A 13,453-nucleotide genomic window follows, 5' to 3' on the forward strand; every position below is an offset into this window, starting at 1 on the left:
GATTAAATGCTATCAATCAATAGTCATTTTATACTGGTGTGTGATTTCCACTTCAATCTTTAATATTGTTACCACCTTAATTTTCCAAAAACATTATACTTAATTCTGCAAGGTATATAAGACTCCATACATAATCTGGTTCTATAATACCATTATTTCCTACTATTATTCTCAAATAAAACCTCTTGGGCAGTAGCATAACGGTTAAGAAAATGCAGGCTTTGGAGACAGTCTGCTCTGAGGTGAGTACTGGCTCCCCCATATGAACTTGGGCAAGTTAACCCATCTGTCTCTCAGTTTCCTCAACTGTAATACATGGAGAGTATCTGCCTCTAAGGGTTGCTGGAAACATTAAATGAGATAATACGCATAAGGCATTGAAGTATCTGTCACAGTAAATGCTAATATTACTATCGTTATTAGTGCACTGTATAGCTCCCCCTATGTGCAGCACTTTAGAAGATAAGAAACTAGTCTATTCTATGGTCCCTATCTTCAAGGAATGTTTAGTACAGCTGGAAAAGTGAAGAAATACACAATGAGTTAAAACCATAAAGCAGAGACCTGTCAAGTACCAATGGACCTTGAGCTCCTGTTTGCCTGTCGGGTAGGGTGAGATTGACAGGACATGAAACCTAGGGCCCATCAGGGTGGTTAGTCCCTCTCTAAAAAGCCAGGACCCCAGAAAGCTACCCCTTCAAGTGTCAGAGTGGAAACAGGCACTACATGAAAAAATGGAGAGCAAGGAAGTTGATTCACCTAGACTTCGGCGTTGGTTAGAAAGGGAAAATAATCTCCCTGAGGATCAAGCAAAGCCTTGAACAGGTTTAAAACCCAAAAAAACATAGGCTAAGATTTTAAAGTAGTCTAGGATTGCTAGTGACCTCAAGTGAATGGCAGAAACAAGTACAAATCTTTGCAAATTCTCTCTGAAAAGATTTTCACAGATGAAATCTGAGGAATGAGAGTTAATCAAAACCACAAGGCACATGTGGAAACAAAACATTAAGTGAAAGCCAGCAGAATCAAACTCATAAAGACTTCAGATACTAGAATTAGAAACAGAATATAAAATAACTTTAATATGTTTTAAGAAGTTTAAAATATGAATAACCAGGCAGTTTGAAAAAGATCCAGTTAGAACTTTTCAAAATGATTGAGATTAAAAACAGAGGCAAAAACACAGTGGATGGGTCAAATGGCTCTTCAAAGCTGACATGTTAATGAAGTTGGGAAAATACAAAGCTATTACTTAGAATGCAGCATCAGTAATATTTTTCCATCTTTATCTATGTTGTTTTGTTTTAGGTGTGTCTTTTGTAGACAGTATATAAACCAGCTAGATTTTATGTTAATACAGTCTTTTCTTCTATTTGCTTCACTCTCCCTGTCAACTATCCAAAACTGTATCTAACGTCTAATTGGAGCCAGATGTGGTAGCTCACACCTGTAATCCCAGCACTTTGAGAGGCTGAGGGGAATGGATCACATGAGGCCACGAGTTTGAGACCAGCTTGGCCAACACGGTGAAACCCCATCTCTACTAAAAATACAAAAACTAGCCAGCCGTGGTTGCAGGTGCCTGTAGTCCCAGCTACTTTGGAGGCCGAGGCAGGAGAATTGCTTGAACCCAGGAGGCAAAGGTTGCAGATTGTGCCACTGCACTCCAGCTTGGGTGACAAAAGCAAGACTCTGTCTCAAAATATATATATATGTATAATAATTGGAGAGTAGAGTCCACTTAAATGCATTTGATTTATTTCTCCCCTGTCATTGTGAGCGTTTTACTTATCTTGGTTTTTAAAATATAAGCCTTCATGAAAAGTTCTGGCCTGAGCAGGGCCTCTAAGGAATGAGGAAGCACGAATAGCTAGTTCAAAGATCATGATCCTTCTGGGTAAATCAGAGAATATTCTCATTGGTAATGGCTGGCAAGGAATAAGGTTGCAGAGGTCAATGTGAAGGAATGGGAAGAAAGACAAATTATGAAGAACTTTTAGAATCTTGGAAATTAGTTTGAATGATTTTTTAATGCAAAGGTTGGTGAAATGCTATGGGATTTGATTAATGGGGTGGTTTAAGAAAATTAAACCAGCAGTAGCTCAAGGCCCAATTCTTATTCTAGTCCATAATGAATGTGCCTATTTTTCTATTTTTGCATAGTACTGATATAAGGATAGAAAACAGTATATACAATTGATTCCATTTTTCTGTTGTTTCCTTATCTTAAACCTTGCTTTCCCCCCAGATTACACAACCGTAAAGGGCAGAAAATGTCTTGTTTATCTTTTATCTTCCATTATGCTAGCACAGATAAATTCCTCCATAAATTATTAAAAGGATCTTACTAATATAAAATACTGGCAGTCACATAATCAAATATTATAGTGGGAGACTTCATACTGTTCAATGGCCACTATACAGTAATCCATGTGACCAGGACAGGCTTCTCTAGGGGACAAAACATAAAAACTCTTGTCCTATGTCTCTCCAAGCTAGTAAAAGAAAAAAAATGCTGTGAATAAATACTTTATGTGAAACAGGTAAACATAAGTTCCACAGCCATTCATTCTTTTCACTAATAGCTAAGTATACAAAGATTCACCGGTGTCAACTTTCTATATGCCAATTTAGAAGAGTGATTAGCTGAGGTGTGAAATATAGAAAGGGAAATGCTAGGAAGATACTATTTTAAGCTTACCCCCAAGTCCATTCCCTTCCAAAAAAATCAAATCCAAGGTTTTCCTTCAAAAGCTAAATATGCAAATCACTATTCAGCCATAGAGAAAGTAAAATCATTCTTTAAAAAGACAAAACATAAATTTCTTTAAAAAGTTAAAAATTTACCATCTCTCACACTAGATAGATCTTCCTCTCTCTTTTTCTTGTCCTTTTTTTTTTCTATCTCCCTTTTGATCCTTATTAATTTCTGTTTTACCTAATTTCAAACTGATATAGTTAGTTGAAGATTTTTTTTTCATAGCTTAAGGGTTTAAGCATAAGTATGACTTTAAAAATAACAGAATTATCAATCTTAAAAAACATCCTCATGTATCTTACCTAAAACAAAACATGATTTTATCTTCCCCAAATGAAAAAAAGTCTACTTTTAGCAGTATGATTAATCTCTAGAATAAAAGGGACATATTAGAGAGGTAGAACGTAAGTAGAATTTTTATTTCGTACATGCTTCCTCAAGAAACTGAAATGACTTCTGAAGCTAAATTGGGAAAATGCCTACTATGATTAATTTGCTATCCTGAAATATTATCAGGTGAATGGAGAATTTCGATATATATTCCATCTCAAATATTCATAAAGTAAAACCTGCTTTTCTCTTCCCAATCACTGATATTCTTGATTGCTTTATTTCAGATAGCCTATCTCCATCTCCTGCTGTCCTGTGCAAAACAGACCTTTCAAAGGCTTAAGTTATTCTAATAACTTTTTATGGAGCAGCAACAGTAGACACCCATATTATAAATGACCAACATTTGACTTCAACCAATATTTAACTTTGACACTACCAAAGTAACAAACTTTTCTTATTTCACTTATTTCTTAAGATCTTGAATTATAACTTTCTATCTTTTGGAATGAAATTAATGTTTGAAAACCACTGTATACAAACCAGCATAAGGAACAGTGTCTCTCATATAACCTACTAGACAAGTTGTAACAACTCTCAATGTTAACCTTTTTCTTTGTCTAAATATTTAATAAGTTGTGCAGATGAAAATACAGACATACTAAACAATTAATTTGATTTTCCCCCCTTCAACTTAAAAAAACTTTAATGAAAATTTCAGAAGTGGGAAAATAAGCAATATTGTGTCTTATCCTTTTACTCTTTTGGAATCACAGTGTTAGTAGTAACAGTATCTTACATTTATAAAACCTGCATGATTTGCAAATAATTTTAAATTGAAATTTTAATTTAGCTAATTGTGTATTAATATGTGGTTGTAATAAATACAGAGTGATCCCTTGTACACATAACTGGATTTACACAAAGAAAATCCTAAGAAATACTGAAGACTGGGAAATAAAAGTGACATAGCAAATACCAACTCTGCTATCTTTGGGAGCTGTGATTATACATATTTTATTTCTTACAATTGCTACTTTCAATGTGGCCAGTGGGTTATTAAGCTTATGGTACGATTATCAATTTACAACAGTGTGAATAGACTTAATGAGATACTGGCCACAACTCTTCAATTTAAAAAGTTTACCAGTATATTCACATTTCAAAACTGCTCTGATTGCACTATGAAAACTTTGTTCTAATAATGAGATATCAAAAAATTATTATTTTTGTTTTTTTTAAGACAGAGTTTCTCTCTTGTTGCCCAGGCTGGAGTGCAATGGTGCAGTCTCAGCTCACTGCATCCTCTGCCTCCCAGGTTCAAGCGATTCTCCTGCCTCAGCCTCCCAAGTAGCTGGGATTACAGGCATGCACCACCACACCCACCTAATTTTGTATTTTTAGTAGAGACGGGGTTTCACCATGTTGGTCAGGCTGGTCTCCAACTCCTGACCTCAGGTGATCCAACCGCCTCGGCCTCCCAAAGTGCTGGGATTACAGGCGTGAGCCACCACCCCCAGCTAAAACAATTATTTAAGGATTTTAGTCAATTCAAGTAGTTCTTTCAATAGGAGACCAAAAAGATATGGTTTAAGAAAGTTATTTCTTCCATGATCCCATTACAAGAATATAAATATCTCAACATGATGAGTTATAAATTAAACATCTCAAAAAAACAACAGGGAATTAGAGACAGTTATGATATAAACATTGATTTAGAATTCTGAAACAGATATTTTCCCAAAAACATAATGGTTAGGAGGTTCCTAGATTAGTCCCTAAAAACCCACTAATTTCATAATTTGTCAAAAAGTGATACAGATAGTATATTATTCCTCACTATAAATTATAGAGCATTTCCTCACCCGTGTTCCTTTAAACACTTGGTATTTCTGATTTAGCACTTGGTATTTCTGATATAGCATGTGGGTGACTCATATCATCAAACTATGCCCCAAATGGTAAACTTTTAAGTCACTTATTTGGGGTTCTCTTTCAAATAACAGAAAAAAAAAAAAGTTACACATAATCTTTGATTATTCAAGGTCTGACTAGTTATAGGTTTTGGTGATCTTTTTTTTCTTTTAAAGAGACAGGGTCTTACTCTGTCACCTAGGCCACCATGCAATGGTGTGGTCATAGCTCATTGTAACCTCAAATTCCTGGGCTCATGTGATCCTCCCACCCCAGCCTCTGGGACTACAGTTGCATGCCATGATGCCTAGCTAATTTTTTTCTTTTTTAATTTTGTAGAGATGGGGTTCTTGCTATATGTTGCCCAGGCTGGTCTCAAACTCTTGGGCTCAAGCGATTCCACCTCAGCCTCCCAAAGTGTTGGGATTACAGGCATGAGCCACTGTGCCTAGCTGGTAATCTTTCTTTTGATGAAACTCTTCACAAAAGACTGTATTATTCTAAAAATAAATCTCACCTTAAAAGAACTCATTTAAAAATGAAAACATCTCAAGTTTTTAAGATTATCAATTTCATTATGTCAGCCAATAAAGTTCTATTAGTTAAAGGCCAACTCAAAATTACTTATAACACAACTAATATTTTGAAATAAAAACAGATACTTACCAAGTGGAGCTTTCAGAAAACGCCGCTCAATGCCCTGCTCTATTTGAAAGAGTGCCATTGCCAGATAATGAACCACACTGCTCACTGATTGTGGTGTACTTGCATTTGTTGATACAGTACTTGGAGTTTCTGTTTTTATCCCCAAAAGTCTACAATTAAAACAATTAAGAGTTTATGGTACTTAAAAACACTATTAGGTAAAACTTGAGTCCATTCATTGGTTCAAATGCTTATTTATACCTTTGTAAAAAATCATTTCCTCAATCTCAAGGAGTTGCAGTAAACTAGTAGGGAAGGGAGATTCATTTAGAAGGACTAAGGGTAAATATTTGAAGGAGAGAAAGAAGAGGGAAGGCTTATGGGAAAGGTTTCAGAGAGGTGACATTGTGATGGGCCTTAAAGCCTAAGTATTTCGGGCAGCTTATCTCTATTTCTCTTGTTTTGCCCTTTTTTTTTGCTTTTTTGAGACAGTCTCGCACTGTTGCCCAGGCTGGAGTGCAGTGGTGCGATCTCAGCTTACTGCAAGCTCTGCCTCCCGGGTTCACACCATTCTCCTGCCTCAGTCTCCTGAGTAGCTGGGACTACAGGTGCCCACCACCGTGCCCGGCTAATTTTTTGTATTTTTAGTAGAGACGGGGTTTCACTATGTTGGCCAGGCTGGTCTCGAATGCCTGACCTCATGATTCACCTGTCTCAGCCTCCCAAAGTGCTGGGATTACAGGTGTCAGCCACTGCGCCTGGCCTAAAATGATCATTTTAAAGTGCAAACTCATTCACTCAAAGCCTTTGTACATGGTTTTTCTTCCCAGTGTCCTATTTTTCTCAACTTTAGGGCTCAGCTTTGCAGTCACTTCCTCTTGCACTTCCTTTACTATCTCCCATGTTCTACTAAGACAAGTAGCCCGCCCATGTACTTCATCTGCACTGGGTATAACCTTCTATCAGTACCCCATTCTAGTAAATATAATGCTAGCCTCATGTTTCTCCACTGTTCCCTTCTAGATGACAAACTGCTTAAAGGCATATAATATCCAAAATAATCTTGAAAAAATAAAAGTATCTATAGATATATGGATATAGATTCTGATTAGTAATAATATTTAATACTTATACTTATTTAGAGATGAGGTCTCATTGTTGCTCAGGCTGGAGTGCAGTGGCACAATCATTATTAGCTCACTGCAGCTTTGAAGTCCTGGGGTACAACGATGGAATAGATGGGACTACAAGTGCATGCCGGCCAGGCGTGGTGGCTCAGGCCTGTAATCCCAGCACTTTGGGAGGCCGAGGCAGGGCATCACAAGGTCAGGAGATCAAGATCGTCCTGGCCAACGTGGCGAAACCCTGTCTCTACTAAAAATACAAAAATTAGCTGGGCGTGTTGGCACGTGCCTGTAATCCCAGCTACTCAGGAGGCTGAGGCAGAAGAATTGCTTGAACCAGGGAGTAGGAGGTTGCAGTGAGCTGAGATTGTGCTACTTTACTCCAGCCTGGCAACAGAGCAAGACTCCGTCTCAAAAAATAACAACAACAACAACAAAAACCAAGTGCATGCCACCATGCCCAGATAATTAAAAAAAAGAGAGACAGGGTCTCACTATGTTGCCCAGGCTGGTCTCCAACTCCCGGCCTCAAGTGATCCTCCTGCTTCCGCCTCCCGAGCAGCTGAGACTACAGGCCCACGCCATCTTGCCTGGCTCAAATAACATTCAAGTCTACCAGAATTTACTAATTTACTAAGTTTTCCTATAGAAAAGAAGAATAATAGTATAATTACTTTCCAAAATTAATAAAACCTTAAGTTCAAAGATTAAAAAAAAAAACTTTAAGAAATTATCATTATTCGAATGAATTGTTTTTTGGTTGCATTAGTACAAAGTGGAGTAACAGAGATCCTGAGGTTTAGAAAATGATCAGTCCAATGGTTACAAATATCAAGGTCCTCACGACAAGTTTTTAAAATAAGAAAAAGCAACATATTTACTTAAAAACCAAAAAAAAAAAAAAAACCTTAAAATGGCAAGGAAAAGTAATGGTTACTTTAGAAAAATCTTTTTGTACCTGTCTTTTACTATGACCTTTGTTTGTTCATCAATTTCCATCTCTTCTACGTCTTCATTCACAGTTTTAATTATCCCATTTTCCTTGTTTTCCTCACTTAACAGCTCATACCGTCCACTTTCTAATGCTGATCTCCAGATATGTCGATCTGTAACCTGTAACAAAATTCAAACTTACTAACCATGAAAAATGGAATATATTGTTTCTGAGAGGTATGAAGTTCAATATGCATATAAAATCAATTCATGGATATTTTAGAAATGATTATGAATCAAAAAGGTATCTAAAAATAAGGTTACTAAGTGGCCAAACTGGAATTCATATTCTTCATAGATGAAAACCATAATGCCTTACTTTCTGTATAAATAAATCATAAACAGTTCTAAGATTGGTCACTTGATAGCAGCAAAAAAGTGACAGATGATGGCAAAGGCATGAACAGAATACATTATCAGCCATGAATTACAGATTTTAAAAAGGTAACAAAGAAACCAACAAACCAACCAGACTCAGCAGAGAAGGCAGGGGCTAGTCAAGGAAGAAGAAAATATCCTTACGCATTTCAACATCTGATGAAAATATCGGAAAAAATATTTTTATGCAGGGGAATAAACTTAAGTTTTCATAAAAAATTTATCATTCTCTGGTGTTTATTCAAAACACATATGCCTTGTCTATGCCATATAATTAACAAATATGACCAAAATTCTGGACCAAGTAGATTAGACAAACTAAAAATGGGAACAAGTACAAACCTTGATGGCTCCTAATGTTCCTTGGTAGATTCTATCTTCAATATCTAAAAGAAAATCTCTCAGCCTTAGTTCAAGTTGCTTTTCTGCACACATCTGAGATGGATCATATGCATTGGAAGATCTTCCCCGACTATATGTTGGTTTGCTATCAGGCTGAGGTTTGTCTGAAATAGTAATCAAATACTTTTATTATGATTTTCTTATTAAAAACTACAATTACTCCATGTGGCTGTTATGATCTTGAAATAACAGATATAAAAGTGCTTTGTAAATCCTCAAGTGCCACAAATGAATGAATGAATGAATGAATATCATTTATCTTATAAAGCCCTTGTACAGCTACTCAGGAGGCTGAGGCAGGATTGCTTGAGCCCAGGAGTTTGAATCTGCAGTGAACTATGGTTATGCCACTGCAATCCAGCCTGGGCAACAGAGCGAGACCCTGTCTCTAAATAAATAAATAAAGCCCTTGTATCCAGAATATATAAAGAACTCTTACAGCACAATAAAAAGACAACCCAATTTAAAAATGGGCAAAGGATCTGAATAGATATTTAAGGAAGACAGACAAATGGCCAATGAGCACATGAAAAGATGCTCAACATTGGCGGGGGGTAGTGGCTCATGCCTGTAATCCCAGCACTTTGGGAGACCAAGGCGGGTGGATTACCTGAGGTCAGGAGTTTGAGACCAGCCTGGCCAACATGGTGAAACCCTATCTCTACTAAAAATACAAAAAATTAGCTGGGTGTGGTGGCGGGCGCCTGTTATCCCAGCTACTTGGGAGGCTGAGACAGGAGATGCACTAGAACCCAGGAGGCAGAGATTGCAGTGAGCCCAACAGCCTGGGCAACAAAAGCGAAATTCTGTCTCAAACAAAAAACAAAAAAAAACCCCAATAATTGTGATCTATAGTTTTTAATCCTGAAAAAAACTGAAGTGGTCATGGTAACATGCCCCTAAATTTAAGCAATTCTTTTTAAAATTTTGATTTAATTTAAAACGTTTTTAGCTCTATTTTCTCTCCCACAGGAGACAAGTAAGCAATTCTTTACCTAGAGAATCTAATTTATTAATATAAAAACTCACATCTAAAAATGCCTTACTGCTTTTTCTTATTTGTCATCAGTGGACGGACCATCAAGCAGGAAATGCTGCTATCCGACCTGCCCTTGCAGCCAAGCTCCAAAGAAGTGACCATTAGTGGAACTTCTCCCTAGACTCTCAGCCAAAACCCTTAATGAGTAACCTCACTCACCATAATCTGTCCAAAACTGATGGCAGCCTTAGAGTCTATTCTTGGGTTTCAGAGTCTACTGACCAAGGAATAAGGAGATCAGGGAGAATATGTATTTTGTTATACCATAGATGTGTTCCTCATAATTCAAATACAATCCAGTGGAATTTAGAGAATCTTATTTCTATACAGAAATACATTCCCAAACTCTAACTTGCAAACTAAAAGGACAGCCTAAATCAAAGATAAGGTGTTGTAAATGTATTTCTAATAGGTTGCAAAAACGCTTAATCCTGAATGACCAGAGATTAGGGGGAGGGAAAAAAAGTAAAAACAATTTTCATTGAAAATTTACCTGAAAAATGAAATTTCTCTTCAGAAAAACGGGCTAGCTGTGCACATATTCTGCTTTTCTCTTGTAACAAAGTTTCTTTTAAGGCACTTTCTCTATGTCCTCTAGAATTAAGAGCTTCAATAAGCTGGTCTAGCTGTTCACAAGAACTGTAAAAGCACCACCGATTTGGCTTATGCACTGGTTTTGGCAGCTGCACAGAATGGTCACGTGGACCTTGGTCAATGTTGGAGGTAGATTCAGACATCAAAGGCTCTCCAGTTTTAGTGGATACCTGAGGATCTTGAGACTGTACATTATTCTGAAATGATGAAGGTCTAGGCAACAGCATGTCTTCAGTAAGACCAGAATAATCCTCTTCAATAAAGAGTCCAGGAATAGAAGGGAAAATCCAGTATCGTCTATACATGCGGTCGCGACCCAAGGGAAAGATATTGGTACAGGCTATGGCACTTTGGATTTTTTCTAAGAGCTCTTTCTCTTTTCGTTGGTGTTCCTGTTTTAATGCTTCTTCCTCATCAGCAGTAAGAGGCTCTCTTGTTACACAGTTGATCTGTTCTTGCCTTGTAAATTCTTTAAATCCATTTTGTCCTCTTTTCCCTGTAATTAAAATAAAATGTTTCATCATCATCATATTTCAAGTTTCCATTAGAAAAATATGAGATACAAAGTTACCCCAAGTTATTAGGTGTTATGAACTAAACTGTATCCCCTCTCCACAACCCCAAGTTCATATGTTGAAGCCCTAACCTCCAATGTGACTGTATTTGGAGACAGAACCTTTAAGGAGGTAATTAAGGTCATGAAGGTGGGGACCTAATCCAACATGATTGGTGTTCTTAGACACCAGAGATCTTGTTATCTGACATGCACAGAGAAAAAGCCATGTAAGGATATAGCAAGAAGGCACTGTCTGCAAGCCAAGAAAAAGCCTTTCAGACACCAACCCTGCTTGATCTTGGACTTCCAGACTCCAGAACTGTGAGAAAAAAAATTTCTGAAGTTTCTGTTGTTTAACCCACCCCAGTCTGTGGTATTTCGTTATGGCAGCCCAAGCAGACTAATACACTATGTTAATAAGAAATCAATATACTTAAATCTAAAGGGGCATGCAAAATCTGTCATTTCCATACTGGAGAGTGCTAGTAGAGTATGTTAGTTCTCCTCCAGTAGTCATCCCAGTCCTTCCTCTAAGGGAGGAATAACAGCAAACTACTTCTGGAGAAGACTAGCTTATAAATATTTGTCTTTGTGGATCTTATGGTCTTCACAGCTATTCAATTCCACTCTTGTGGCCCAAAAGCAATCACAGGCAACATGCAGACAATGAGCATGGCTGTGGTTCAATGTAACTATTTATGGACAGTGAAATCTGAATTTCATATAATTTTCACTTATCACAAAGTATCATTCTTCTTTTTTCCAGCCATTTAAATTGTAAAAATCCGGCTGGCGCGGTGGCCCATGCCTGTAATCCCAGAACTTTGGGAGGCCGAGGTGGGCGGATCACCTGACATCAGGAGTTCTTAACCAGCCTGGCCAACATGGTGAAATCCCGTCTCCACTAAAAATACAAAAATTAGCTGGGCATGGTAGCAAGCACCTGTAATCCCAGCTACTCAGGAGGCTGAGGCATGAGAATCGCTTGAACCCAGGAGGGGGAGGTTGCAGTGGGCCAAGATCACGCCACTGTACTCCACCCTGGGGGATAGAGTGAGACTCTGTCTCCAAAAAAAAAAAAAAAGGGAAAATTCCTTTTTAGCTTAGCTTATGAGTTATACAAAAACAGGGCAGGGCCAGGCACAGTGGCTTACATCTGTAATCCCAACACTTTGGGAGGCCGAGGTGGCTGGATCACTTGAGGCCAGGAGTTTGAAACCAGCCTGGCCAACATGGCAAAACCCATCATTACTAAAAATACAAAAATCAGCCAGGTGTGGTGGTGTGCACCTGTAATCCCAGCTACTCGGGAGGCTGAGGTAGGAGAATCACTTGAACCCAGAAGGTGGAAGTTGCAGTGAGCCGAGATGGCGCCACTGCACATCCCAGCCTGGGTGACAGAGCGAGACTCCACCTCAAAAAACATTAACAAAAAAAATGGGGCCGGCCAGATTTGGCATACAAACTGTTATTTACTAACCACTGGTTGAAGGTAACAGAACCACTAGTTTTTAGCTGGGCACTTAGCAACCCAAAAGAAGGACAACATTTCCCATAGTAGGCACAACTAAATGAAAAACTTTTGTTCAAAGAGATGGGATCAGAAGCACTGTGTGTACCCTCTGGACTGTGCTTCCCTTTCCTCCTTCCCATTTCCACCTAGCTAGAATGCAGACATGGTGATAAATCATTTTGGAACATGAGAATGGCAGCAAAACCCTAAGGATGGCAGTACCAACAAGATAGAAAGAGCTTGGACCCCTGATAATCTGCCTTGACTTTGACAGTATGTTGGAATTAAATTTCTCTGTTGTTTCAGTTACTGTCAAATTGCTTTGATAGTTCGGAAGTATTTTTTCGTTCTATTTCTTTTGCTTGAAAGAGTTTGTGTAAGATTGGAATTATCTGCTTTTTAAAAAATTTGGCAGAATTCACCTATAAAGTTGTCTAGGACTGATGTTTTCTCTGCAGAAGGATTTTAGTACTGATTCAAGTTCTTTAATGGTTTAAGACCATCTACATTAACAAATTTCTTCACAGATCCATTTTGATAATTTGTATTTTCTAGGATTTTATTTTTGCATACATTTTCAAATTCATCAAAAATTGTGTATATCTCATCTTTAAATTTCTACTCTATCCATAGTTATGTTGCTCCCCTTTCAGTCTTAACTTTATTATGATTGCCCTCTTTATAAAAATCAATTTCAACAAAGGTTTGTCTAGTTTGTCTTTCTCAGACAAACACACTTTTGGATTTGTTGTTGTTCTTTACTATATTTTTATTTTATTTTTTTGAGAAAGGACCTTGCTCTGTTGCCCAGGCTGGAGTGCAGTGGCGCAATCAGGGCGCACTGCAGCCTTGATCTCCCAGGCTCAAGTGACCCTCCCACCTTAGCCTACTGAGTAGCTGGGACTACAGGTGCATGCCACCATGCCCAGCTTGCTTTCTGGGTACTTTTTGTGGCGATGGGGTTTCACCAAGGCTGATTTTGAACTCCTGGGCTTAAGCAATCCACCTACCTTGGCCTCTCAGAGTGCTGGGATTACAGGCATGAGCCACTGCACCTGGCCCTACTATATTTTTATTTTCTATTAATTTCTACTCTAATGTATTATTTCCTTCAGATTTGGGGGGATTATTCTTTTTCCCCCACCATCTTCTTAAATAAATGTCTAGCTCAGCTTGTGTTTCTTCTTTTCTAATATGTATTAAAGCT

At 37.9% G+C, this 13,453-nt stretch overlaps 1 protein-coding gene across 8 annotated transcripts in view; it reads right to left on the reverse strand.

Moving 5' to 3' along the window:
• The window catches only part of BAZ1A (bromodomain adjacent to zinc finger domain 1A), a 122,630-nt gene that overhangs the window by 13,112 nt on the left and 96,065 nt on the right, over nt 1–13,453 (reverse strand). For all 8 annotated transcript variants that reach the window (XR_007063978.1, NM_182648.2, NM_013448.3 and 5 more), the window contains 4 exons: nt 10,077–10,673; nt 8,485–8,648; nt 7,730–7,884; nt 5,669–5,817 (listed from right to left, as the gene is read on the reverse strand). Coding sequence is in view for 7 of the 8 variants with exons in the window: in NM_182648.2 (NP_872589.1) it covers nt 5,669–5,817; nt 7,730–7,884; nt 8,485–8,648; nt 10,077–10,673 (1,065 nt within the window). In the remaining variant the exon portion in view is untranslated. The remainder of the gene's footprint in view (nt 1–5,668; nt 5,818–7,729; nt 7,885–8,484; nt 8,649–10,076; nt 10,674–13,453) is intronic.

The sequence above is a fragment of the Homo sapiens genome, chromosome 14 (assembly GCF_000001405.40).
Source record: "Homo sapiens chromosome 14, GRCh38.p14 Primary Assembly".
In the NCBI taxonomy this organism is placed as follows: Eukaryota; Metazoa; Chordata; class Mammalia; order Primates; family Hominidae; genus Homo; species Homo sapiens.